The sequence below is a fragment of the Homo sapiens genome, chromosome 8 (assembly GCF_000001405.40).
Source record: "Homo sapiens chromosome 8, GRCh38.p14 Primary Assembly".
In the NCBI taxonomy this organism is placed as follows: domain Eukaryota; kingdom Metazoa; phylum Chordata; class Mammalia; order Primates; family Hominidae; genus Homo; species Homo sapiens.
The window spans coordinates 141117698-141144125 of NC_000008.11; the positions used below are offsets into that span (position 1 = coordinate 141117698).

Consider the following 26428-nt stretch of genomic DNA (forward strand, 5'->3'; position numbering starts at 1 on the left):
GGGGTGGGAGAGTTGGGGTAATGCTCCGGCCTGAGCCAGGCCCAGGGGTCAGGGAGGTGCCTGTGGTCAAGGCCTGCGGCCCCTGGTTGGCCTCCAACCTCACCACCTGCTAGCTGGGCCAGCACCTCCAGGAGGTCATGCCCTGCCCTGTGGGGTGGGCAGCAGACACCCCTCCTGGGCTGCTGGGAAAAAGTGTGCCCTGCTGGGGGCTGGCCTGCACGGGCTCCTGGAGGCTGGGGGATTTGGGAACCCTCAGAAGATGCGGCCCCTGCTCTTGGGAAGGCATTTTTCCTGCTCAAGGCAGAGGGGACGTGGCTTTTCCAGCCTGGCCCTGCAGGTGCTGTCTGCATTCCTGAGCCCCATCTGGGCGTTGGATGACCGGGAGCCCCTGCGTCCTCTCCAAGCCTCCTTGCTGGACACTGCACTCAGGACCCAGCAGAAGCCTCTGCCCTGGGTGCAGTGAGACAGGGAAGCCACCGGTCAGTCCCGGCACCTACACCACTGGGGCCCTACTGGGGTGTTCACAAAGAGCTGTGAGAATGAATCGCAGGAAGCGGCTCTGAACTTTCGCTGGGCCCAGGGGAGTTAGAGTTGACTGAGTTTGGCCAGATGGTTTTAAATCTCTTCTAATTATAAGATTCCAGCATGGGAGGTCTTGTCACCCATATTTTTTTTTTTTTTTTTTTTTTGAGGCGGAATCTCTCTGTGTCGTCAGGCTGGAGTGCGGTGGTGCGATCTTGGCTCACTGCAACCTCTGCCTCCCAGGTTCAAACGATTCCCCTGCCTCAGTCTCATGAGTAGCTGGGACTACAGGCACAGGCCACCATACCTGGCTAATTTTTCTATATTTTAGTAGAGACAGGGTTTCACCATGTTGGCCAGGATGGTCTCCATCTCCTGACCTTGTGATCCACCCACTCCCAAAGTGCTGGGATGACAGGCATGAGCCACCGTGCCCAGCCCCAAGCAAACTTTAGAACCACCTGCAGCAGGGGTGACAGGGCAGGGTGGGCAGGGCCTATTCGGGGGACGGGGGTGGAAGTCCAGCCTGGGAAGGCTCTGGCCCCACCTGGAGAAGCAGTTCCTCCTCGGAGTGGCTGGCGCCTGGGCTTTGGTGTTGGATCTTCCCAGGTGCACACCTCTGCTCCCGTGCTCACTGCTGTGTGCTCCTGGCCATGTGGCTGAACTGGCTGAGCCTCAGGTGCCTGATCTGTGAAATGGGGTGACAGGGTTTATAGGGTTGCTGAGAAGATTGGTAAGAGAATGTGCACACATGCGGAATGCCTCCAGTTTCAGGTAGATGAGCCACTGGCAGCCATCGTCACCACCACTAGGGTGGCCCCTCGCCATGTCTGCCCTTGCCCTGCCTTGCAGAGAACCAGCGGGTTTTGACCAGGGGAAAGCCTGAGGCCAGGGGAGCAGGGGGTGCCTGGCAGTCACTGAGTGCCACCCCACAGCAGGCCCTGCCCATCACCCTGTTCTGCATGACAGCCCCTCGAGGTTTGTGCGGCCACTTCCCTGCCCTACAGCTGGGGAAGGGTGGAGCGGGGCTCGTTCCCGGGACCTTCTTCCTCCAGTGCCAGTGCCCTTCCCATGGGGACCTCATGAGAAGTGCCCATGTGCGGGGGCTGGGCGGTGGCTCCAGAGTGGGGACAAGGGAGGGGTCAGGTTGGTTCATAGTTGGAGGCCCAAAGGCAGGGCTGTGGAGAGGCACGAAGGACACGGGTTTGTCCCCCACATGGTCATGGTCAGAAGCAACATGAGGAGGCCCTGAGAGGCGTAGGGGCACCACAGCCTGGATGGAGGAAGTAGGGGGCAGGGGAGAGAGGCCTTCCTGGGGTAGTTGGTATCTGTATCTGAGCCGACGTAAGACAAGTTGGAGTTGGCCATGGAGTACGAGAGGGCAGGGCATTCAGAGCAGCAGGCAGCAGGTGCAGAGAGTGCCTTTGAATAACCTTGGGAGGTCCAAGCTTCCCTCCTGGGCCCTGGGTGAGTGGCGTTTGTACCTGACTTCCCCCTTTCTGCCTATTTACTGTCAGTTGTCTATTTTTGTTTGTCTTGATTCCCAGTCCGGATGGGTTAAGATAGTTCTCACATCTGTCCCCTTCCTCCCTGACCAAGCACACAGGGGCAGCCAGACCACAGCTTCCTGTCTTTCTTCATACCCAGGAGGAAGAGAATGTCACAAGTGAGTGTGGCTGCTCGGCCATGCAGCTCTGAGCTGCCAGCAGGAGCAACACGTTCCCGACATCCTTCCTCAGCCCTGGCTTCCTAGAATTTCCTTTTTTTTTAGACTGAGTCTCGCTCTGTCGCCCAGGCTGGAGTGCAGTAGTACAGTCTTGGCTCACTGCAATCTCCGCCTCCTGGGTTCAAGCAATTCTCCTGCCTCAGCCTCCCGAGTAGCTGGGATTACAGGCGCCCACCACCACACCTGGCTAGCTTTTGTATTTTTAGTAGAGATGGGGGTTTTACCATGTTGGCCAGGTTGGTCTTGAACTCCTGACCTCAGGTGATCTGCCTGCCTCAGGCTCCCAAAGTGCTGGGATTACAGGCATGAGCCACCGTGCCCGGCTGAATTTTCTTCAATGGCTTCTTAGGGGCCATTCAGAGCAGGCGTTGCTGAGAGTGGGGACAGCCCCGAGTGGAAGGCCCTTCTCACCATCAGGCCTCCAGGCTGTGGGGCAACAAAGGAAGCCAGAGAACACGCCCCTTTCCCATCTTTTTATCATTCTTCCTCAGTCTGGCATTTTCTAGATTCTAGGATAGTTGCTTGATATCTGAAGTTGGGCAATTTGTTTTAGACACAGTAGAATTCCAGAAAGAGATGAGATAATTCACTTGTTTTTCTTTTCTGATAAAATATTTCATATTTGCAAAGACTATATCTAATAACTATAACATGAACAGCCCTGTCCCACCAGCTGAAGGAACAGGGCGCCACTAAGATGGCCCCAGGGCCCCCCCAGGGAGTACAGCACCCTGCACGTGGTGTGCACCCCGCGGTGATCCTCTGTGTGGTTTTCTTATTTACGTGTGCTTTGTCTGCTCCTGGACTTTGTTAAGTGGGATCACGGTGTGTGTTGTACTCCATGTGGGGTTAGCGAATCTCTGCCGACTGGCGGCCCATTGCACAGGTGGACCATGATCAGCGGACAGTGGAATTTAGCCTTTATGCTTTTATTCGTCAAATACTCATGGTACTCCCGTCACTTTGTGTGTCAGCCACAGGGCCAGGTGATGGGAACATTCGTCCACAGGGCTCAGGGAAGGGGCCCAGGGTCACCCAGGCTGTAGGTGCTGAGCCAGGTCCAGGTCAGTGCAGGACCGAACTCACCACGTGTGTTCAGCCCCACTGTGTGCCAGCAGCGGTAGGCGCTATGGGAATCAGCACAGAGTAGGCATGCAATAAGTGTTTATGGAGGGGAGCTAAATGTTTTCCTCATTCAGGAGGAAGTGCTATTACTTTCGTTTCACAAATGACAAAATACAGCATTAGCCCAGCAGCGGTGCCTGGCTGCACATCCGAGTCACCTGGGGGCGCCGCTGGATCCTCAGCTGCCCACACCCCAGCCCCCTAGATGTTCTGAGCAGTTGAGGCAGGACCTGGCCATAGGGGTTTGTCCAAACCTTCCACATGGGTCTTACTGGTGGCCAGTGTTGAGAGCTGCCGTTGCACCCTCCAAAGCCCCACGAGACACTGAGCTCAGAACTTGCGCTGTCTGCACGTGAACTTGGTGGGTAGAGGTTGCACCATCTAACCTGAGCCCAGACAGTTAGTGTTCGACAACACATGACTTCCTCTCAGTTATTCATATTTTAAAGGAAAACCAACTTTTCACAAATGGGTTTATAGCTGATTGGGACAGGAGGGGGCTGCCTGAGCAGGCCAGGGGCATTTGACCAGGCGGCCCACCTGTGGCATGGTTAACGGTGATGTCCACAGCACCTGTGCTGTTTGCTGGGACCCCATCACGTGACCGTTCTCACTGTGGATGGTGAAGGGTTTGTTCTCTGGTATCTACTCCCCAGAGCCTGCGGCAACAGCCCCATTGTATCTGTGTTCTGGCTTTCTCTACAATTCTCCCTCCCTTCCCAGCACAAGAGAGGGGAGAAAGGCTCAGGCCTAAACGTGATAGCACACAGTTGCTAAACACACACACGACACACTACACACTACACACGACACACGTGCACAAGCACAGAGGCACACACCACTTTCAGGATGGCCCATTTAGATGTCCACAGTCCTGCAAGGTCAACCTGTCCCAAACCAACCCCCCCGGGGCTCCTCCACACCCCGCCTGCCCCTGCCCCTGCCAGCCTGGTGCTCCTGGGCTCTCCTCACATAAGTGGGGACCTGCTCTGTGCAGCTCTGGGGACACAGCAGGAGCATCTCAGCTATAGGCCCTGCCCTCAGGGAATGGACAGATCCACGGGAGGACAGGCCCACAAACCACTGGATTACGGTGGGGTCAAAGCTGCAGTGGTGGAATGGGAGCTGAATTTCATCTGTGGAGTTAGGGAATTGAGACGTGGATGGCCCCGGCCCCCTCCCCACCGCCGCCCCATCCCAGTGCTCCTGACTTGCCTCCTGCCCCTCTTCCTGCTGCTCCCCTCATGGCCTGTTTGGATCCTCTGCCTTTGCCTGGAGTTTGCAGTATTCACGTGCACTTTCCTGCCTCTCCCTGCAGCCGGGGTCCCCTGGCTCAAATACCAGTCTGGACCCTTTTCTCCCTTGTCAAAGTCCTCCTAGCCTCCTACTACCCCAGGACAGACGCCAGCCCACTGGCCCTCTCCACTGCTCCCCTCGGTGTGTACAGAGCACCTGCATGCGCTGGGCACTGCTTCAGGGACTGGGCAGAGCAACGAGCATGAAACAGACACTTCTCGGCAGTATCCAAGCGTTGCTGTGGTGGCCTCTGCACACACAGTGCTATTCCTGCAGCCTCGCCTCTGGCAGTGCTGTTCCCGCTGCTGAGCCTGTCTTGCCCTCTGTGCCTTTGTACCCCCAGAAAATGCCTCTTCCCCTTTCATGGTTGATTTTCTGTGTTCTCCTCTTACCTGAATCCCCTGCTGGGTCAGGGGTCCTGCTTCTCCATTTCCAGGGCAATCTCTGCTTCCCTCTCTCCACTGAACACTCATTTTCTGCACTGTGAGCTTTTTGTGGCAGGAAGGTCTGTAGTTTTATTTTATTCTTCTGTGTTCTTAGCCATTATCATAGGACCAAGCATATAGCAGGTGCTCAATAAACATCTCAAAAGAAATGGGGAAACCACGGCTCAGGAGGTTAAGGGACTTCCGAGGTCACAGGGCTAGTGAGAGCAGGGGTTGGATTTGGAAGTGTTTGCATGTGACTTGCACTATGGCAGTATGGTGTCCCCATCATGTCGCTCCTGGAGAAAGCTGCTCATTCAGGCTCATGTTTTTCTTTGCTTACGGAGACGTGATTATGCTTTCCCAGAAAGGCTGAAGCTTAGCATGTATCATAGCATGGAGATCCAGCTAACTCCACTTCAAAGTTTTTGCGAGGAATACATAATCCAAATATTTGAACTCCAGTTGTAACAAGGTAGAGTGCATCCAAATACCACACACGGGATTGTGTGTTTGCCATGTGTGGACGTTCAGGGCTGTGCACTCTGGGGTATGTGTGTCAACCTCACCTGCTCCTCACTCACCATCAGGCTGGGAGACTGGCCCTTGAGGAGAATTCTTGTGAATGATGACAGCAGAGGGCAACGCCGATTGCACCTTTATCAGCGACCATGGTCTCTGTGACACTCCACGCATTGTGCAGGGTCAAATACTTACCACTATTGGGTCAGGATTTGCACCAGGCCATTGAGAATGAAGCGCCTGGAATGCAGGGTGGAGGGTTCTGGGGTTTAGAGGGGACCCCCAGTTTTCACTGGGGGAGCTGGGGGTGAGGGAAGGGAGGGCTTCCCTGAAGGTGCTGTTTGAACAAGACCTGGAAGGACAAGTAGGTGGGTTTCAGACTGAGTAGGAAAAGTGTGTCCTGGGCAGCCCGCAGGGAAGGGCACGTTTAGGGGGACAGTGAGTGATTCATAGTTGTTTGGGAGGGGTGCGGCGGGAGCACTTATTTGAGGCCAGACTGTGGTGGGTCTCGTAGATGTCCCAGAGTTTGACCTTTAATGCAGGTAGGAGAGCTCCCTAGTCTGTCCAAACAGCTCTAATATAATAGGCAGGCAGCTTTCCATTCTCTACACGGGGCTTGTTCACATCTATTGGCATATTTGATTTTCCCAGCAGCCTTGCAAGGTAGGCATTGCTTTTTTAAATCTAAAAAAAAATTTTTTTTTTTTTGAGATGGAGTTTCACTGTGTCACCCAGGCTGGAGTGCAGTGGTGCGATCTTGGCTCACTGCAACTTCCGCCCCCTGGGTTCAAGCAATTCTCCTGCCTCAGCCTCCTGAGTAGCTGGGATTACAGGCATGTGCCACCATGCCCGGCTAAATTTTGTACTTTTGTAGAGACGGGGTTTCACCATGTTGGCCAGGCTGGTCTCGAACTCTTGACCTCAGGTGATCCACCTGTCTCGGCCTCTCAAAGTGCTGGGATTACAGGCATGAGCCACTGAGCCAGCCCCCGCATTGCTCTTTTTACAGATAAGAAAACTGAGGTCAGTGAGGTTTGGTGTTACTTGGTGTGGGACAGAGTCACTCCTTTTTGTTTCAAACCCAGCACCTTGGATCCTGCCCAGGCGGCCCCATAAAAGGAACTGCTCCCGGCTGGGATATGCTTTGGGCTACTGTGTGCCCATGTGCGGTCACACCTCGAGGACATATGAACATGTCCCGCTCCTACCATTCGTCTAGGGACAGAGTGACATTGCTCTAGAGAACACTAAAAGTCTTGCACTTCTGTCCCGTTTTGTTGTTGTTATTTTTAAATTGGAAATACAAGACCATTCTCCCCCGCAACTCCCATATCCCCCATCAAGCCCTCAATAAACTGGTTGCATTTGCATGTAAAACATGTATATTCGATATGTACATATCACATCATATCATATCATAGCTAGCTCTGAAGATGCAGCATAGGAAAGAGACGAGAAGGCTGTGCCCTCACCCGTGTGGAGAGCTGTGTGAAACGGAGTGGCCTCCAGACACAGCTTTTATTGCCAGTATTCATCCACTGATGGACATTTGGGTTACTCCCACCTTTTGGCTCAGCTGTGAACATGGGTTACAAGTGTCTGTTCCAGCGCCTTATTTCAGTTCTTTCCAGTATATGTCAGAGGCAGGATCGCTGGGTCGTTTGGCAATTCTGTTTAGTTTTGTGAGGAACTCCCATACTGTTTTCCCCAGCAGCTGCGCCATTTTACATCCCCAACAACAGTCCACAAGGGTTTCAATTTCTTCACATCCTCGCCCACATTTCTTATTTTTTGTTGTTGTGTTATTTTTAAAAAATAACACCTAATGAGTGTGACGTGGTATCTCATTTTAGCTTTGATTTGCATTTCCCTAATGATTAGTGATGTTAAACATGTTTTCATGAGCTTATTGGCCATTTGTGTGTCTTCTAAGAAATGTCTATTTGGGTCTGTTGCCCATTTTTTAATTGGGTTGGATTTTTTTTTGTTGTTGAGTTGTAGGAATTCTTAATATATTCTGAATAGTAACTCTTTGTTTTGTTTTGTTTTGTTTTGTTTTTTTGAGATGGAGTCTCACTTTGTCGCCCAGGCTGGAGTGCAGTGGTGTGATCTTGGCTCACTGCAACCTCTGCCTTCTGAGTTCAAGCGATTCTCCTGCCTCAGCCTCCCGAATAGCTGGGATTCCAGGTGCACGCCACCACGCCTGGCTAATTTTTGTATTTTTAGTAGAGCTGGGGTTTCACCATTTTAGCCAGGCTTGTCTCGAACTCCTGATCTCAAGTGATCTGCCTGCCTTGGCCTCCCAAAGTGCTGGGATTACAGGCATGAGCCACTGCATCTGGCTCTGAATATTAATTCTTTATCAGGTATATGATTTTCTCTTATTCTGTGACTTTTTCACTCTTTTGAAAGAGTTCTTTGATGTACAAAAGTTTTAATTTTGATGAAGACAATTTAACTATTTTTTCTTTCGTTATCTGTGCTTTTGGGGTCATATCCAAGGAATCACTGCCAAATCCAATGTCATGAAGCTTTTCCCTTCATCCTGTATTTTTTAAAAAATAATTTTAACACCTAAAGCGCTGCTAAAATGTCCAAAGTTAATTGACATCCTGCAGCGTCCCCATGAACTCCATTAAAAAAATTTATTCAAGTGAAATTCACACACCATAAAATCATCTTAAAACAAACCATTTAGTACCAGCACATTCACAATGCTGTGCTCGCCCCTCTTTTGGTGTCAGTACTTTATGGTTTATAAATTATGTTTGTTTCTATTTTCTCGTTTGGTCTTCACAGTGTCCCTGAGAGTTAGAGCAGTAAACCCGTTTCACAGGAACATGCAGGGAAGGAGGGTAACGTGCTCTGAGCCCACATGCAGTAAGCACTGACCGTGTTTGCAAGTTTCTTTTATCCAATCCGAGCTTTGCTTTCCTCGACTCTGATGTGGGGCAGTGCTGCCTACTGGGGCAGATGTTCCTGCTGGCTGGGCTCTCCTTGCACCTCTCTTCTTCTCTAGGTCCCCTCATCTGCTCATCTGCCTCGATGTGACTTCCACCTTTGAGTTTGATTGCTAGTCATCTCCACCTCGTATCTCCAAACCCATTAGCAATTTTTCAAGGATGGGACAAAGCTTTCCGTAGGCACTTTGGAAGGACCTGTGGCATGAGAGACGGGAGCGTATTAAAAAGTGCAGAACTGGGAGCCCCTCAGAGGTCATCTGGCCCAATTATCTGGTTTTAAGGAGGAGGAAAAGGGGGCATAAAGGAGTGGATTGCAAGCTCTGTGCACTGCTGGAGCTCTCTTCCTTAAAGCATTTGGCCTCTTGGTGATAAAGGGACAGCAGAGACCTGCTCTCGCGTGAGCCTTACTGGGTCCTGGTGGCAAGAGCTGCCATGTGTTTACCTCCCTTGGATCTTGACCACTGCCCCTCAGGAAGTCACGGCTTAGGGCTGTTGAGCTCACCTGTCACACAGCAACACACAGGAGCCAGACTCAGGCCCTGTGTGCCCTCAGGGAGTGGCTCATGGCTCCAGCCCGGGTTGAGAGCGCCTCTCCTGCATGCTGGGGACTCTAGGTGACGGATTCAGGCTGTGTGCTTTGCAGAGGCTGCTAAAAATGAGGCCACCAAGGCTGGGTGTGGTGGCTCATGCCTGTAATCCCAGCACTTTGGGAGGCCAAGGCGGGTGGATCACCTAAGGTCAGGAGTTTGAGACCAGCTTGGCCAACATGGTGAAACCCCATCTCTACTAAAAATACAAAAAGTAGCCAGGTGTGGTGGTGGGCGCCTGTAATCCCAGCTACTCTGGAGGCTGAGGCAGGAGAATCGCTTGAACCTGGGAGGCAGAGGTTGCAGTGAGCTGAGATCATGCCACTGCACTCCAGCCTGGGCTACAAGAGCAAAACTCTGTCTCAAAAACAAACAGAAAAACAACAACAAAAAACCGAGGCCACCGTCGAGAGAGACAGGCAATTGTTCATGAAATCGGTCTTTCTTTTGAAGTCAGAGACTATAACAACTGTGGCCTCAGCTCACCGATGAGAGCCACCGATGGTAGGCAGCCTCCAGGCCTGGGGGAGAACCAGCAGATCCTCACCATCTTTAGGTTAATAAGTGAAATAAAACCTGTGAGTCAGGCTGCAGTCACGGCCTCACCCGGCTCAGGGAAGGAGGGAGAAATTCCTCAGGGCTCCCTTTTCTGATGTTGCCTTGCTTTGTACTTACTGTTCCTTTTCCTGTTCAGCTGATGACAGATGTTTGACATTAAGCATTTTAGAGTTTTGTTTTTTAGAAAATAGAATCATAGATTATCAGAAGTGGAAGTCCCTTTGGAATAATTTCCCCTGGGTTACACAGATGGCTATGGCAGGGTCAAGGGAGGGGACGGTCAGCGGGGACTGAGCGCAGGCCCCCTCCAGGCTCTGCAGCAATGACCAGGCAGCAAGCCGGCCTCCCGGGCTTGTGGGCTGTCCTCTTTCTCTGGGGTCAGCCTGAGGCTGGAAGAGGCCCGTGGCCCACCGGGCATCAGGCCAAGCCTGGAGCTGACCAGGGAAGGGCCCTGCCAGGCCTTGGGCCTCTGACCCTCAGTCCTGAAGCCTCCCTCTAGCGGCGCCCACCCTGCTCCTTTTCCTGCTGAATTTTACTCAAGTCCGTACTTGAGTATGGCCGGCCCTAGGTTAACCCCGCAGAGTTATTAACCAGGAGTGGCTCTTTCCACCCCCCCTTCCCGCCGGCCCTTCCTGCTGTCCACACCCGGCCAACTCCACTGTCCTGGCAAGGGAGGGCTTCCTGGAGGCGGCAGCGGGCGGCGCGTCCGGCCTTTGTCCCCCCACGCTCTCCAGGGTAGGTCCAGGGACTGCCAGATCAGGGGACCCTTTGCGTCCTGGAGCCTTGGGGGCTGGATGACGTCGCCGGGCACCTGAGGACCCCGCCCATTCCTCCCTCGGTTCCCCAGGGAGCGGGCGGCCGGCGGGGCTGGGCGGGGCCGAAGGAAGGGGCCGCTTGCTCCGACGCCGCGCACGCGCCAGGGCCCGCAGGCGGGTTAGGAAATGACGACCGCGCGCGGGTCTCCAGCAGCACCCGCCCTAGGACCGGCCCCGCCCCCAAGTCCCGGTCCCTAGGGCCGGGCACGCCACTCCAGGCCCCGCCCAGAACCTCCCCGCCCAGTCAAGCCCCGCCCCCAAACTCTGTCTCCCCGCGGTATCCTCTGGGGCTCTCCAGGCCCCGCCTCGGCTCGGGCCCCGCCCCTCCAGGCCCCGCCTCCAGCCCCGCCCCGCAGACGGCGCTCGCAGCGCCCCCGGCCCCCAGGCGGCGCGGCTGGTCCCCAGGGGTCTGCGGGCGACTGCGCGGCTGAGGCGCCCGAGTGCGGTACTGGCGGCGGGCGGCGGGCAGCCATGGCGGAGGCCGCGTCGCCGCACTTGTCGCTGCCCTCGGGGCTGCTGGAGCTCTGCGCGCTGCTGGGCGCCCCCCGGGACAGTCTCCGAAGTCTCGAGCAGGTGAGGGGCGGGGAAACTGAGGCGGACGTGGGCCACGAGTCGGCAGCCGGGACAGCAGTCGGAGAGCGGGCGCCCGGGTGCCCTGTGGGTTGGCGCGGACTTTCCGAGGGCTGAGTCCCGGTCCCCCGGCGGTGACCCCGCGCGCCTGTGGCCGGGGATCGCGCCCGAGCTCAGGCAGGTGCCCTGGAGCAGCGCCCTGCTCCCCTCCCCTCTTCTCTCCTCTCCCCGCCCGGGGCCCTTGGTGTGAGACATGTCTTTTGAGAGCTGCGAACTTGGTCCGCCGGCCGGGAATCTGGGGGTGCCGCCCCTCGGAGAGTCTCTGGGGCCTCTCTCTTCAGTCGCTCCCATCTTGGGCAGGTGCTTCTGAAGGTGGGGTGCACCAGACAACGGGCGGAAGCCGCCGGAGCCTCACGGTCTAGCGGGCCCAGCCCTCGCTGCTGAAATGATTTCATTCTTTATGCTGGGATGTGTTGTCCCCTGAGTAGTGGGTTTTGCACCAGGCACAGAATAACGAGAGAGCAATCTTAGAGTTAGCCGCCGGCCTCGCGTATTCTGCATGAACCCCTTTGCGATGAAGCCTATAGCTATTTTTCTCCCTTGCGGTACCACCCCCACCCCCAACCCTTCCTCCATCTCTGCACCCTCGCAGCCAAAGTGACAACTTCATCTCCCTTCTGCTGGGAAAGCGGCAGTTTTGGAAATTCTCGTTTTCCTTTTTCTTCCCCAGCTTTTCTTAATTCTGTAACGCTGGCTTTCCCTGGAATCCATCTGTGTCTCTGGTTTCCTCCTGGTCCGCCTGTCTGTGACACCGTGACTGGGTCATGTTACCTAGAGATCCCGGCGTCACTGGCCAGCCGTCTGCACAGGTCCGTTCATCTCTTTGCAGACAACAGCATAGAAAGGCAGAGAGGCTTCTGAGTATTTAAATGACGCTGGGCTATCCAGGGAAAATGAAGACTGCAGGGCAGAGGGTGTCACCAGGAAAGGCAGATGTTCCTGCAAGTAACCAGATGAATGTCTGTGAGTGTCCGGGGAGTTTCCCCTGCTGGGCGTCAGTACCAAGCCAGTTTCGACTTCAGTGAAAAAGCATTCTCCTATGGAAATAGTTTCCTCGTTTCCCTCAACTTTTCCTTCCCTTCAACGCCCTGTCATGTCAGTAGATCCCGTTTGACCTCTGTCTCCTCGCAACGTCATCGATTGATTTGTCTCCCTACCTCGAATTTGCCAGATGGCATCTCCTCCTTTTTCTTCGAATAGGAAGTGACCTAGTTGCCGCTGTGGTCTCCTCAGCCGTTGAACGTCTTTCCTCTGGGGCAGTTACAACATGGGTGTTAGTTGCTTGGTGTGACACATGTCTTTTGAGGGCAGGGCGAATCAACTGGAATATTTGCAGTGGTGCTTTCTTTTTTTCAATTTCTTTATTATTATTATTATGTTAATAATAGAGAGGAGGTCTCACTGTGTTGCCCAGACTCATCTCCAATTCCTGAGCTCAAGTGATCCTCCCGCCTCAGCCTTTCAAAGTGCTGGGATTACAGGCGTGAGCCACTGCGCCTGGCCAGTGGTGCATTCCTGAACTAAACACGCTGCAACATTTTCATGTTCCCAGGTCAAGTGAGAGTATGGACAGTCTGCTACTGTGCATGCTTAACTTTGTCCTCTTTACTCTGTCTTTTGATTCTGTTAGGGGTTTGGCAAAGGGTGGAGAGAAAAGTAGTGAAGGACTAAGAAAATAAGGAGCGTTAGGGGATGGATTCCATTTCTTGGAGCCATCCTACTTTTAAGGTCAATATTAATGTTATAGTTAACCAAACATATGATTTTATTTATTTAGATGTTTTTTCGGCGGTTCTATTTTGAATGTCCAAGGCTTTTAAATATATTTTTTTTTTTTTGAGACAGAGTTTTGCTCTGTTGCCCAGGATGGAGTGCCATGGTGCAATCTCGGCTCACTGCAATCTCCGCCTCCTGAGTTCAAGCAATTCTCCTGCCTCAGCCTCCTAAGTAGCTGGGATTACAGGCGTGTGCCACCATGCCCAGCTAATTTTTGTATTTTTAGTAGAGACAGGGTTTCACCACGTTGGTCAGGCTGGTCTCAAACTCCTGACCTCACGATCTGCCCGCCTCGGCCTCCCAAAGTGTTGGGATTATAGGTGTGAGCCACCGCACCTGGCCGCTTTTAAATAATTTTTACCTTGACTTTTACAAATCCCCATTTCTCTGTGGCCCAGGCATTCCTTCTTGATGACACAGGAAAACAGAGGTCCGGAGGTATGAGGAATATCCAGCTTCATGTTGGATAGTGGAGGGCCCTTTTGTTTCATTTCCTAGAAGGGGGAGTAGTGTTTGTTTTTTTAGGAATGGTGACCGAGACTTTGAGAATGCAGGCTAATGTTAGTTACTGTGGTTAGTTACATTCCCCTCCACCCCTTTACTATAGAGCCCTCCCCAACCCCATTATTGGTTGCTATGGAGACTAGACATAGGTGTGACAGGATCCATTATAAATCCATCACACAGGAGTAGAAAGTGTTCTGAGTACCTTGCGTAGTACAGGTCACCCGCATAATTCTTGCGTGTGAAGCTCCATTTTTATGGCTTTTGGTGGACATCGTCCTGACTTTCAGTTTCAGAACAGCACTGGCCAGCTGGCCTTCCTGGGTGATGGCAGTTCGTGTCCTCTCTTTGCACCGTGCAGTACAATAGCCACTGGCCACATGTGGTCACTGAGCTTGTAGTGTGGCCAGTGAGCTAAGAAACTGGGTTTAAAATTTCATTTAATTCTAACTAAACAGTTGGAGAGCAATAAAAAAATTGATTAATTTCTGTTTTATTCCCTTAATAATGGCCAATCCTATAGTGAAGATGAATTCCACTGTGTACTCTAACTTAGAAATTAACCTGTGACTCAAGTAAATTAGAGTGTTCTGGTTTTTACTTTTGAATTAGCAGTTTTAAAAACCAAAATGATGGTTATTGGGTAGGGGTTTAATAAGTCAGCACCTGGGACAGAAGAATGGGAAATGACCTCACCTCCTGCAGCAGACTGGCAGAGGTGACTAGCGTCTCGGTGGTGGCGGGGTCTGGTTGTTCAGGGCAGCCACAACCTGTATCACCAAGTAACCTTGGAACACTCTTGTGCCAAGACTTCCATTTTTAGGAATTTATTCTAGGGAAAGAACTGGGTGCGTGCAAGTGTGTGTCACCGCTCTGTTCAGTGTGGTGAAGACTTGAGAACCACCCACACATCTCTCAGGAGGAGGCTGGGTCAATACATGACTGAGTTGACACATGCTGTGATATTGTGATACTGTACGGTTGTAAACAGGGAGGTCAGCCACATGAAGTAGTTAAAACAGCTAATGGAACCTGTTATGTAGGATGACTACATTTATGAAACAAAATTATACGTTTATACATGCATTAAAATGTATAAAATGCACAAAAAGGCATAAAATGGGAAGGATGTATCCACCCTGTGCAAAGTGTGTCATGGAATTATGGGAGGGCCGTCCCTTTCTATTAGCTCCTTTATTATTTCTATATTTATTATTTTTTTTTGTGGGGGATGGAGTTTCACGCTTGTTGCCCAGGCTGGAGTACAATGGTGCCATCTCGGCTCACTGCAACCTCTGCCTCCCAGGTTCAAGCGATTCTCCTGTCTGAGCCTCCCGAGTAGCTGGGATTACAGGCATGTACGACTATGCCTGGCTAATTTTGTATTTTTAGTAGAGAGGGGGTTTCTCCATGTTGATCAGGCTAGTCTTGAACTCCTGACCTCAGGTGATCTACCTGCCTCAGCCTCCCAAAGTGCTGGGATTACAGGCGTGAGCCACTGTGCCTGGCCTCTATATTGTTATTTTTAAAAATGAGATTGTATTGCTTGTCCATTGAGAAAAGACAACAGAGATTTCATTCTGAGAAAAAACAGGTGTATGGTGAACTACTGAATGCCAAGTTGATCGGATCTGGGGCACATCATTATAAGTGACTAGAGATAACTAGAGGAATGACAGGTGGGGTGTTGAGTCTAGTGTGATCACCAGTGTTCAGTCCAGGCTGAGCATGCCTCTAAGAGATCACCAGGTGCCAGGAGTGTGAATGAGGAACGATATCGCCTCAGTCATCTTCTCTGCTAAATGTGGGGACAGAGAGGAATACAACACAATCTCTGCTCCACCGCATCCCCTCAAATGGAAGGTGGTAAAATACCACTGGGCAGGGCCGAGATGCTCCAGGGGGTGATGAGCTGGGAGGTGGAGGCCTGGAGGAGCCTGTGGTCCTGGCTGCGGGGTGGCAGAGACCTTCTGCAGTGAGCGTGGGGGGTGGAGGGTCTGCCCCCGTGCAGGTGGAGCAGCGAGGGGCTGGGGCCTGAGCCCATGGAAGAGCAGGGTCATTGCAGAGGTGCTGTGTGTTCTGAGAACCCCAGGGAGTTTAGTTTTGCTTGGCTTTGGGGGCATCCTGGCTTAGGGAGCGAGCTGGCCTGCTGCTCAGGGGTGCACTGTCCTGACTCATGCCCACGTATGACACGTGGGAAGATACAGTATCATGATGTGGCGAAACAAACACTCTTTGCTTTCTTCAATGTGGGGATGGGGCTGTGATGCTTCAAGGCTGGGTTGGGGCCACAAAGTATCTGGTTTGCGGTCAGACAGGGACGTCCCTCGTTGGGAGAGTGGACACAGATGCTAGTGGGGAGCCCTGGGCTGGGTGGGAGGCAGCATCTTCCTCCTTCTCCTGACAGAAACCTCCAAGGCTTTGCTTCTGGTTACTTGCTACCTGCCTGGAGCCACGGGTCTTGCAGGTGCTTGGTGTGGAAACATGGTGCAGCGGGGCAGCATCGAGCTGATGGAGAGGCTCTCCAGGACCAGTGGCTGAGGTGTAGGTCTGCAGGTGGGGCATGGTGGGGCTGGGGCCCGAGGGGCTGGAGTACCAGCTCTGAAGACCCGAACTGCACTGTGTTTGTTGCAGAGGAGAACACAGGTGGGAGATCAGGCTTTTTGGAAACTAGCAGAAGCTTAATTTTTGAGACCGTAAGTTTAAGGGACCCCAGAGGTGCAGTGGGGGTGGCAGGAGGCAGTCAGGGGAAGCCTGGGACTGGAAAGAGGTGTGGGCTGGGAATAGGACTTTGGGCTGTGAGTGCTGAGGTCCTTCAGGAGGATGGTGCGAAGGACCCAGGCCTGGGAGTCGCAACCTGTGAGCAGGACTGAGAAGGGTCTGTAGGGGCCAGAGAGGAGCCATCAGACCAAGGGAAACCAGAAGGGAGGCGAGATCAAGACAGTTCCAGGATCCAGGAGGAGGGCTGCTCACTCATCTCATATGCTGCCTTGAATGTGCACCATTAGTTGGGTCAGAACTGTCCATTCTGATGGGAAAGTTTTAGAGAAAGTGACATGTAATTGAGGAAATGGACTTTTCGTGCATGCTACACTAGAGCTTTTAAGTTATAAAATAATATGGATTTCCCATATTTTTTATTTTTTATTTTTATTTTATTTTTTTTTTGAGACAGTCTCGCTCTGTTGCCCAGGCTGGAGTGCAGTGGTGTGATCTCGGCTCACTGCAAGCTCCGCCTCCCGGGTTCACGCCATTCTCCTGCCTCAGCCTCTCCGAGTAGCTGGGACTACAGGCGCCCGCCACCATGCCCGGCTAATTTTTTGTATTTTTAGTAGAGACAGGGTTTCACTGTGGTGTCGATCTCCTGACCTCGTGATCTGCCTCCCAAAGTGCTGAGATTACAAGCGTAAGCCACCGCTCCCAGTCGGATTTCCCATGTTTTGTCCTGGTTCCTACTGATACATTTTTTTCTCCAAATGTAAAGCAATTGTTGACCGAATTTGAGTGATGTAGCGTGCAAATCGTCATATAGAGATCAGAGTGTGCTTACTGATGGAAACTGCTGCCGTTGTTGAAATTTCTTCCAGCGTAAGACTCCCCTTTTGTCACTGCTGTGTCTTATTGGAATGTTGAGTGTTGGCTGTGCGTTTTCTGTCAGCCAAGGTCCCATTTCTCTGGATGGCAGTGCTATCTCCTTTCTTCCTTACGGAGTCTTGCTCTGTCGCGCAGGCTGGACTGCAGTGGTGAGATCTCGGCTCACTGCAAGCTCCGCCTCCTGGGTTCATGCCATTCTCCTGCCTCAGCCCCCCGCCCGGCCGAGTAGCTGGGACTGCAGGCATGCGCCACCAAGCCCGGCTAATTTTTTTGTATTTTTAGTAGAGACGGGGTTTCACTGTGTTAGCCAGGATGGTCTCGATCTGACCTCGTGATCTGCCCGCCTCGGCTTCCCAAAGTGCTGGGATTACAGGCATGAGCCACCGCGCCCAGCTCTTTCTTTCTTTCTTTCTTTTTTTTTTTTTTTTTGAGACCAGGTCTTGCTCTTTCACCCAGGCCGGAGCGCAGTGGTGTGATCACAGCTCACTGCAGCCTCAACCTCCTGGGCTCAGGCGATCTTCCTGCCTTAGCCTCCTGTGTAGCTGGGACCACAGGCATGTGCCACTATGCCTGGCTAATTTTTTTATTTTTTGTAGAGACGAGGTCTCATTTTGTTGCCCAGGCTGGCCTTGAACTCCTGGGCTCAAGCAGTCCTCCCGCTTTGGCCTCCCAAAGTGCTGGGATCACAGGCGTGAGCCACTGCACCCGGCAATGCTGTCCTTTCTAGGGTCCCTTAAAGACCCTTGACTACCTGCCTTTGGCCACCTCCTGTCTCTCCATGCCTTGGGTACCCAGGGCCCCTTGCTTCAAGCTTTGCTGTTTCGGGCTAGTTTAGTACCAGAACCACTTCCTTCTTGCTCGCAGACTGCAGGGTGTCCACCTTGGAAAGATCTGAAATCAGCCGGGCAGCAGTATTTGTTTTGTCCTAGCTCTGTACTAGGAGCTGTATTGGGCATAGTAGTAACATGGAAGAGAGATTGAAGGGATGGCCCATGTGCTTTGTATTATTTTAGGAAAGAATGGGAAGAAAAAAGGCAAAAATAAAAATTATGCCAAGTTAAAGTTGAGAAGAATTCAGGCCAAATGCCCCCCTTTTATTGATTTGAGGGACTGTTTGGTCAGCCGAGGAAGGGCACATGTCTCATCTGTACCCACCAGTGCTGTTTCTCACTCCATGCGTCCTCCCAGATCAGTGTGGTAGAAAGGAGGCAGCACTGGCCCACGTGGGGGTGTGGAGGGCGTGGCCCTGGTAAATGTGTATGTGTGGGGTTTGACAATATACAGAGCCTGCCCCCACCCAGGGAGGGCTGAACAGTATATCCATAGGCTCCTGGCAGCCCCGCTGGGCTGAGTACCGGACCCACATTGTCTCTGTTATTCCCTGTACTCGCCGCTTAAAGGGAAGCTTGGAGGGACAAAGAAGCTTGCTGTCAGGAGGTGGAGGCACAGCCAGGACTTGAACTCAGGTCTGTGGATCCCAGTCCGCAGCCTGGACGGCAGTGCTTTATAGGAAGGAGGTGAGGTCCTGCTGTCCATGTCCACAGCTGAAGAGCCAGGCTCTGCGAGTCTACGTGGCTTCCCTGAACATAGGGCCTGGCAGGTTCCTAAAAGAAGCTTCCCAGGAGCCCTTTACTGTTAGGAGCCTGAGGCGCCAGTGTTTATGGGCACCGAGGGGAGGAGAAAAACAAGCAGTGAAGCTCAGACAGAAAGGATACCCTCGAACAAGAGCTGAGGCTGTGGCAGTAACTCTTATTTTTCCCTTTTTTAGGTTGCTTATAAAAAGGGAGTCAAACATCTTTCTGCTCTTCTTGATCCAGAGGTCCTGTCCATTTTCGTGCCTCCTTTTATCAGTAAAGAGGACAGTCAAATGGCCGGTGCCAACTGCGGCACTCTCGGTAAAACCCGGATGCGCTCCTTGAGAAAGAAGAGAGAGAAGCCCAGACCAGAGCAGTGGAAGGGCCTCCCGGGGCCCCCCAGAGCGCCAGAGCCTGAGGATGTCGCCGTCCCGGGCGGCGTGGACCTCCTCACCCTGCCGCAGCTGTGCTTCCCAGGTATGTCTAGGAGGTGGGCACCACTGGGCGCCTCCTGCTGCCGGCCACCCAGAGTGGTCTATTCCCAGAAACCCACAGGCAGAGGGAAGTGACGTGAGCGGCAGAGCCAGGGACCCCTCACTGCCTCCTCTTGTGGGATTTAGTTTTCTTAATCTTGGGGATTTTTTTAATTTTTTATATTTATTTATTTATTTATTTACTTTTTTGAGACGGAGCGTCACTCTGTCACTCAGGCTGGAGTTCAGTGGCACAATCTCCTTTCACTTCATCCTCTGCCTCCTGGGTTCAAGTGATTCTTCTGCGTCAGCCTCTCAAGTAGCTGGGATTACAGGTGCCAACCACCACGCCTGGCTAACTTTTGTGTCTTTAGTAGAAATGGGGTTTCACCATGTTGGCCAGGCTGGTCTTGAACTCTTGGCCTCAAGTGATCCACCTGCCTTAGCCTCCCAAAGTGCTGGGATTACAGGCGTGAGCCACCGTGCTCGACCTACCTTGGGGATTTTAAAGCTGAAGGAAATGTAAATCATTGCGTGTGGTCCCGGTGTTTTGGAGAATTGAGTCCTGGAAGGGAGTCTGCATGAACTTCCAGGTAAAACCATTTGTTCCTGGTGCATTCAAGGCTTTTCCCCTTTGACTTAAAATGAAGTCTTGCAGTGGTTGGCAGATGGATTAAAAATACATCCAGTTCATCTGCAGCGGTTCCACCCCCAGTGTGCCTGAGCCTCTCCCTTCCACCTCCCGTTTTCCGTTTCACTGGGGCAAGAAGCACAGGCCTGCACTTAGTCCCCAGGCTCGCCAGTTCCAGTTAACAGGTGAGCTTGCATTTTGGGGCGTTATTTTTCCTGTGGTCTTCAGGAATGTTAAAATGGCCGAGGTAGGAAACTCAGACGAAGCACCTAGCATAAGCACCCACCTCAGAACTTGGTGCTATTTCCTGGTCACAGGGATTATAAACCTGGGACAGGCGCCAGGTGGGCGGCTGTGCCCAGCAAGCACTGCCACTGGCTGGCAGGTGCTTGAGAGCTTGTAAAGAAATTGCTGTGTGGGGAGGGACTCAGGGAGGATAGACGGCCGGAGGCGTGATCGGAAGAATGAACCCGCCTTGGACATGAAGGCACCACCACTGCTAACTGTGGAGGTGTGTCCTAAACACTGTGAAGAAATCAGCTCGTGGGTAACCCAGGCCACTTGGCAAGAACAGGATTCTTCTCTGTCTCTTTCTGCCTGCAGGGGGTGTGTGCGTGGCCACTGAACCTAAGGAGGATTGCGTCCACTTCCTGGTGCTGACCGATGTCTGCGGGAATAGGACCTATGGCGTGGTGGCCCAGTACTACCGGCCCCTGCATGTAGGTGGTTCCCGTTACTCCCCTCTGAAATTGGGTTTAGATTTTTTATTATGGTGAAATACACATAACACAACATTCACCATTCTAACCATTTTAAAGTGTGCAGTTCCGTAACATTAAGTACATTCACAGCATTGTGCAACCACCACCAATGTCTAGGTCCAAAACGCTTTCATCATCCCTGAAAACCCCATACCATTAAGCCTTCAGTCCTGCTTCCCCTTCCTGCCTGGCGATGGCTAATCTGCTTGCTTTTTTTTTTTATTGAGATGGAGTCTTGCTCTGTCATCCAGGCTGGAGTGCAGTGGCACCATCTCAGCTCACTGCAACCTCCTTCTCCTGGGTTCAAGTGGTTCTCCTGCCTCAGCCTCCCGAGTAGCTGGGATTACAGGTGCCCACCACCATGCCCAGCTAATTTTTGTGTTTTTAGTGGAGACGGGGTTTCACCATGTTGGCCGGGCTGGTTTCGAACTCCTGACCTCAGGTGATCCACCCGCCTCAGCCTCCCAAAGTGCTGGGATTACAGGTGTGAGCGCTGCGCCCGGCCGGCTAATCCCCTTTCTGTCTCTGGATGTATGTATTCTGGACACTTCGTGTAAGTGGACTCATACAGCATGTGGCCTGCTTGTCTGACTTCTTTCCCTCAGCATGTTTTGATGTTCATGTGCATGGGCGCGTGTGCCAGTGCCCCGTGGCCTTTTATGGCGAGTGACATTCCATCGTTTGGATGGACCACATTTTATTTCTCCGTGTATCCGTCGATGGACCTGTGGGTTGTTTCCGCCTTTTGTCTTTGGTGTGAGCGACTGGCGTTTAGACTTTACAACACATTACATCTGTCACACATATTGGGAGTGTTGTCTGGGTAGGGCCGTGTGTGTGAATCAGTGGGCCTTTGGGGAACTCGTAGGGGAAACGATGTATCCAAAGGTGCAGGGTGACCTGCTGCACACGTCCAGAGGGTTTCCCGAAGCAAAAAGCGAGCCGGAGCCTTAATTTAGGTGCCCTGGTGCCATGAAGGGAAGTCTGTGAGTTCCATGCAGTCGAGAGAAATGGCTGGCCTGGATTCCCTCGGAGCCCGGGACACGTGTTTTTGTTGGTAGAAGCGTGCTTACACATGTGACATTGAGTGTTGGGAGGCGTGAGGTATAATCACATGGATTCTGTCCCTGTAAGCTCATGGGGCAGCACAGACAGGCCCGGATGTTCTTAATGAATATGCAGGAGCAAAGCGTACTACTTGATGCTCTGAATGCATAATCTTAGGTTTCTGGGAGAGGTCATTTTCACAGTGTGCCAAGAGCAGAACCAAGGTCAGCTCTCGGGCGGTGCATGCAGGGGACCAGCGTCCGCCTCTGTGACCTGGCTGCCAGCAGCCCCAGGCCTTTCTTCCAGGGTTATGTTAATGGAGGGATGAGAGGAAGGTGCCCCTCCACGTAGCCAGTGTTCCAGATGAGAAAGGATCCACGATGTTGGATCTTTCAGAAAAGCACCTTGGGAGTTTGCTTGTGAAATAACACTTACCAGGAGCAATGCGCATGTTGTTTTCGTTATCATTAAATATAATACATATTAAAAAAAGGAGCAGTCCCTCTGGTTTGCATGAGTACAGCAGATGCCACTGTTCCCAGTGTGCCGGCCTGGCGTGGGCATGCCTGGTCCTGCTCCTGCCTTCCCAGCAGCTGTGTAGTTTCGGGGTATCCCCAGGTCCCACAGCACTCATCTCTCCTTCTTCACTATGTATCCGGATGACGCTATATCTATCGTTTTTTTCTTTCTTTTTTTTTTTTGAGACAGTCTCGCTGTGTCACCCAGGCTTTAGTGCAGCGGTGTGATCACGGCTCACTGCAGCCTTGAACTCCAGGGCTAGCTCAAGTGATTCTCCCACCTCAGCCTCCTGAGTAGCTGGGACCACAGGTGTGCACCACCATGCCCGGCTAATTTTTCTTATTTTTTGTAGAGATGAGGTCTTGCTATGTTGCCCATGCTGATCTTGAACTACTGGAATCCTGCCTCAGCCTCCAAAAGTGTTGGGATGACAGGTGTGAGCTACATGTCCAGCCCCCAACTATCGTTCTATTGATAACACAGCCCCAGCCCCTCTCATACACTCTCCTCTGCCTTTCCACCGACACTACGTGACTTGAGGGTGGGAACCATATTGTGTCTGGGTAGCTCCAGCTCCTCCCGGGCTACTGTAACAGTAGCAGCAGCAGCCACGCGCGCGTGTGAGCAGCTCAGCACCAGGCATGACGTAAGCACTTTGTGTAGTCATTCATTTAATCCTAACCACAACGAATGAGGTTGGGAGATGACAGATGAGGAAATGGTGGCAGAGAGAGGTTAAAAGACCTGCCTGAGATGACAGAGCAGGCAGGGTTGGAACTTGAGTAGACTGACCCTAGAAAAGTGGATGTTTATTAAATTTTGTTAGATAGACAAATGATGTAGCTGACTGTTTCCTGATGTCTCCCTTTACCTGGATATCTTATAAGTACCCTAAATTCAGCAAGTTCTCACACTGAAGCTATCATCATGCCCTTCCATCCCTACAAAAAACCCCAAACTAACAACACTTCCCCAGTTGGTGAGCCCCAAATACTTTGCCACTTGTAAGTTCCACAGTGTGCTGGGCCTTCTAGAACCCTGCGGCCGTGGCTCCCACACAGGCTGAGGCCTCTCCTGCTCCGTCCTCCTGGGCACGTGTGGGTGCCGCTTCCTGTGCGTGGCCCCTGCATTTTCTCCCCTTGTAAAGCAGAGTCCTTTGTGTGTCTTGGGTCTTACTGTGTTCTAATCGTGTGTTCCTTTTTATCTCAAGGCTGTCAGCTTCTCTGGGGCAGGAATGCATCTTGCTCTCTTTATAGCCTCAGCACCTCAAATGGTGCAAGCACCAAATAGGGACCCCGTAGACTTCGACCGGAGGGCCGGTGCTGGCTTGGACGCGTTGCAGGGGTGGGGATGGTGGACTCTCAGCTTGCTGTGTGCTGAAACGTGACCCAGTTGGAAACAGATACTGGAATTGCCAAGGTGGGGAGGTGACCATGTCGCTGTTGCTTTTCATGTAGGATGAGTACTGTTTCTACAATGGCAAAACGCACCGGGAGTGTCCTGGCTGCTTCGTGCCCTTCGCGGTGTGCGTGGTCTCCAGGTTTCCCTATTACAACTCCCTCAAGGACTGCCTTTCCTGGTGAGCTGGGGCACCGGGGGCCAGGGGTGGTAGGGGGCAGCTCTTTGTGCCTCTCCAGGTGAGCCAAGGGACCAGGGGGCTGGAGGTGGTGGGGGGGCAGCTCTCTGTTCCTCTCCTGGTGAGCCGGGGGACCGGGCGCTGGGGGCAGTAGGAGGGGCAGTTCTCTGTGCCTCTTAGGCTGTTGCTTAAGGCTGGGGGCAGTGGGCAGGGGGTGTGGCAGCGGGCGCTCCTCTCTGTGACTGGTAACATACGGTAATGGCATGGTAGGAAAGGGATGAAGCCACACTGTCGGAAGTAAGGTTGATGTTCAGGATTTTCATTTTGTTTAGTTTTTCACAAAAAGGCATATATTAGGAAAAACTCTTTTCCTAGCTGAGAATATTAGGAGGCTGCTGTTTGTTCCAATGAGTTTTATTGACATTTTAAAGATGACCTTGGCTGGGTGTGGTGGCTCACACCTGTAATCCCAGCATATTGGGAGACTAAGATGGGAGGACTGCTTGAGCCGAGGGGTTTGAGACAAGCCTAGGGAACATAGCAATACCCTGTCTCTAAAAAACAATTTAAAAACTAGTTGGGCATGGTGGTGTGTGCCTGTAGTCCCAGCTACTGGGAAGGCTAACGCAGGAGGATGGCTTAAGCCTAGGAGTTCAAGGCTGCAGTGAGCTGTGATTGCACCACCACACTCCAGCCTAGGTTACAGAGCAGGACCCTGTCATCTTGTTTTGTAGAATCTGTAACTGTCTCCCTGCTGATGGTGAGTAGAAAGGCTGAGGACGTAAAGAACTTTTGAAAAATCAGAAAGACATCGTATAGAACCCAGTGGGCTCTCATTATCAAAGGATGCTTTTGTGATGTTGGGGGCTGTAGCCCAAGTTCAGACATGGTCAGTCCCAGTGGGCACTTGTGCACGGAGCCGTTTCTTTTGAGTCTCATAAAGTTACAGTCTGAGAATTTATATTTGTTTGATTAAAGGCCGAGGAGAAAGCAGTTAACAACAGTTCCCTTTTGTGTCATCATGCTGGAGAATGAGCCACGGCAAATCGCTGAATTGGTGCTGTTCTTGCTTCTTGCAAAGCACAGTCATTTGAGACCTTCTGCCTTGACCAGAGGGACGAGCCCCATGGAGAGTGAGCAGGAACCTTACTGTTCAAATCAATGACTCGTAATTCAAATCCCAGCACTTTAGTGGTTTACTTCTTAAAATATAACTGGCTTTTGGACATAGTTTGGGTCTAGCCTACATTTTATTGCCATAGACATAAAATATCGTTGAGAACAGAGAGGTGACTTGGTCGTAGCCAATGAGCAGGTGAATTGAGCACATGCATGTTTGTTGACTGTCTGTCACCAGCGCCCAGGAAGTGACAGAATGCCAAGCCTGTACATGGTCCCCTTTTATTCACTAACTGATGATCTTCATTACTTGAAGGTAAACAGCGTTTTCACTAATCTCTAGTTTCCTCTTCTGTAAAATGTAGATGGTTATTTCCACCTTTTGTTTGCTGAAATGAATGGGTGGTCGCCAGACACATGCCCTTGGAAGACAGGAAGAAAGGAGGTGTTTTCTCCGCCTCCTGGTCGATGTTATGTGTGTTTATTCAGCAACTGACCTTTCATAGTGTGATTGGCAACAGATATCCTCCTGCTAGACATTAAAGCAAACACATATTTAACTTGAAAATGTGTTCATTTTCATGCTTCTTTCTTTCTCATTGCCCATTGCTGTGTGATCAGAACTAGAAGGGGCGAAATACAGAAACAGAATACAGCCAGAAGAGGCAAACGACAGAAATTCAAATTGCCGTATGACAACACGAATTTGTAGTTTTAAAAAAATCGGTTCTGTTAGTGTGATAATATGCAAAATATGTCTCCACGTGGACAAAAAATGGGCAAGAATATATTTAGTTGTGTTTTGGGAATCAGAGTATGGGTAGTTTTTTTTAAATTTTTTTTTATTATACTTTAAGTTCTAGGGTACATGTGCACAACGTGCAGGTTTGTTACGTATGTATACATGTGCCATGTTGGTGTGCTGCACCCATTAACTCGTCATTTACATTGGGTATTTTAATTTTCATTTACAAATTTTTTTGAGAGACAAGGTCTCACTGCCACTGAGGCTGCGGTGCAGTGCCGCTATCATAGCTCACTGCATCCTCAAACTCCCGGGCTCAAGTGATCCTCCCAGCTCTGTCTCCCAGGTAGCTGGGACTACAGGCGCACACCACCACACCAGGATAATTTTTAAATTTTTTGTAGAGACGGGGGTCTCACTATCTTGCGCAGGCTGGCCTTGAACTCCTGGCCTCAAGTGATTCTCCCACCTTGGACTCCCAAGGTGCTGGGAATACCAGTGTGAGCCACCGCACCCACCCCTCTTATAGTTTTAAATTGTATACAGTACTTTAAAAGTCAGAGTCCATTTTGGAGACAGACTTTCTCAAGCACTCTCCTTCCAGGTGTTTGTTCTTTTATTCCTTACCGAGGTAAAACACACGTACAGACAAACGCACAAATTCCAGTGATTTCCCACAAATTGAACACACACATGTAACTAGCACCCAGATGAGGAAACAGAGCATGACCAGGACTTCCCCTTCCAAAATATACCTCCCTTTGTGCCACCTGTCAGGCACTACCGCAGACCTGGGGCCACTCTGCTGTCACCCAGCAGCTTGGTGACTTTGCTTTTGGTGAAAGGTCCTGGAGCTGCTGCTGCAGACGCTGGGGAGATTCCAGTGTGATTAGAAACGCTAACGATGACAACTGCGTTCTCATCTTTATTTTGCGGTTTG

The 26428-nt window shown here is 51.8% G+C and overlaps 1 protein-coding gene and 1 long non-coding RNA gene across 38 annotated transcripts in view, besides 7 other annotated features; one reads left to right on the forward strand and one right to left on the reverse strand.

Moving 5' to 3' along the window:
* Window positions 801-1369: an enhancer, noted in NCBI's record as "H3K4me1 hESC enhancer chr8:142128597-142129165 (GRCh37/hg19 assembly coordinates)". NCBI's record gives its function as "activates a minimal SCP1, AML or CMV promoter by ChIP-STARR-seq in primed H9 embryonic stem cells {active_cell/tissue: H9 hESC(primed)}" and the evidence as "EXISTENCE:reporter gene assay evidence [ECO:0000049][PMID:30033119]".
* Window positions 2182-2381: an enhancer, noted in NCBI's record as "active region_28045". NCBI's record gives its function as "activates an Ori minimal core promoter by ATAC-STARR-seq in GM12878 lymphoblastoid cells {active_cell/tissue: GM12878}" and the evidence as "EXISTENCE:reporter gene assay evidence [ECO:0000049][PMID:35858748]".
* DENND3-AS1 (DENND3 antisense RNA 1) lies at window positions 6981-12444 on the reverse strand. Of its 13 annotated transcripts, none has more exons than NR_183307.1 (3): window positions 12327-12444; window positions 8509-8774; window positions 6981-8161 (listed from the first exon to the last, which is right to left on the reverse strand). It is a non-coding gene; the product is annotated as a DENND3 antisense RNA 1 (long non-coding RNA). The 13 variants fall into 13 exon arrangements; NR_183309.1 differs by adding an exon at window positions 11941-12108 and having other exon boundaries at window positions 6981-8774; NR_183299.1 differs by lacking the exon at window positions 12327-12444 and adding exons at window positions 9842-9860; window positions 10536-10613 and having other exon boundaries at window positions 6981-8774.
* Window positions 9488-10319: an enhancer, noted in NCBI's record as "H3K27ac-H3K4me1 hESC enhancer chr8:142137284-142138115 (GRCh37/hg19 assembly coordinates)". NCBI's record gives its function as "activates a minimal SCP1, AML or CMV promoter by ChIP-STARR-seq in naive H9 embryonic stem cells {active_cell/tissue: H9 hESC(naive)}" and the evidence as "EXISTENCE:reporter gene assay evidence [ECO:0000049][PMID:30033119]".
* Window positions 10438-11297: a silencer, noted in NCBI's record as "silent region_19589". NCBI's record gives its function as "represses an Ori minimal core promoter by ATAC-STARR-seq in GM12878 lymphoblastoid cells {active_cell/tissue: GM12878}" and the evidence as "EXISTENCE:reporter gene assay evidence [ECO:0000049][PMID:35858748]".
* Window positions 10438-11983: a biological region, named in NCBI's record as "H3K27ac-H3K4me1 hESC enhancer GRCh37_chr8:142138949-142139779".
* Window positions 10892-26428, forward strand: part of DENND3 (DENN domain containing 3) — a 67216-nt gene continuing 51679 nt past the window's right edge. For 14 of the 25 annotated variants that reach the window (NR_148197.3, XR_007060719.1, XR_928312.4 and 11 more), the window contains exons 1-4: window positions 10892-11112; window positions 18812-19094; window positions 20325-20440; window positions 23506-23627. Coding sequence is in view for 19 of the 25 variants with exons in the window: in NM_001362798.2 (NP_001349727.1) it covers window positions 11011-11112; window positions 18812-19094; window positions 20325-20440; window positions 23506-23627 (623 nt within the window). In the remaining 6 variants the exon portion in view is untranslated. Of the gene's footprint in view, window positions 11113-18811; window positions 19095-20324; window positions 20441-23505; window positions 23628-24602; window positions 25312-26428 lie in introns of those variants that run through there. The other 11 variants (XR_007060720.1, XR_007060722.1, XR_007060721.1 and 8 more) reach the window with 3 other exon arrangements.
* Window positions 11153-11983: an enhancer, noted in NCBI's record as "H3K27ac-H3K4me1 hESC enhancer chr8:142138949-142139779 (GRCh37/hg19 assembly coordinates)". NCBI's record gives its function as "activates a minimal SCP1, AML or CMV promoter by ChIP-STARR-seq in primed H9 embryonic stem cells {active_cell/tissue: H9 hESC(primed)}" and the evidence as "EXISTENCE:reporter gene assay evidence [ECO:0000049][PMID:30033119]".
* Window positions 16961-17579: an enhancer, noted in NCBI's record as "H3K27ac-H3K4me1 hESC enhancer chr8:142144757-142145375 (GRCh37/hg19 assembly coordinates)". NCBI's record gives its function as "activates a minimal SCP1, AML or CMV promoter by ChIP-STARR-seq in primed H9 embryonic stem cells {active_cell/tissue: H9 hESC(primed)}" and the evidence as "EXISTENCE:reporter gene assay evidence [ECO:0000049][PMID:30033119]".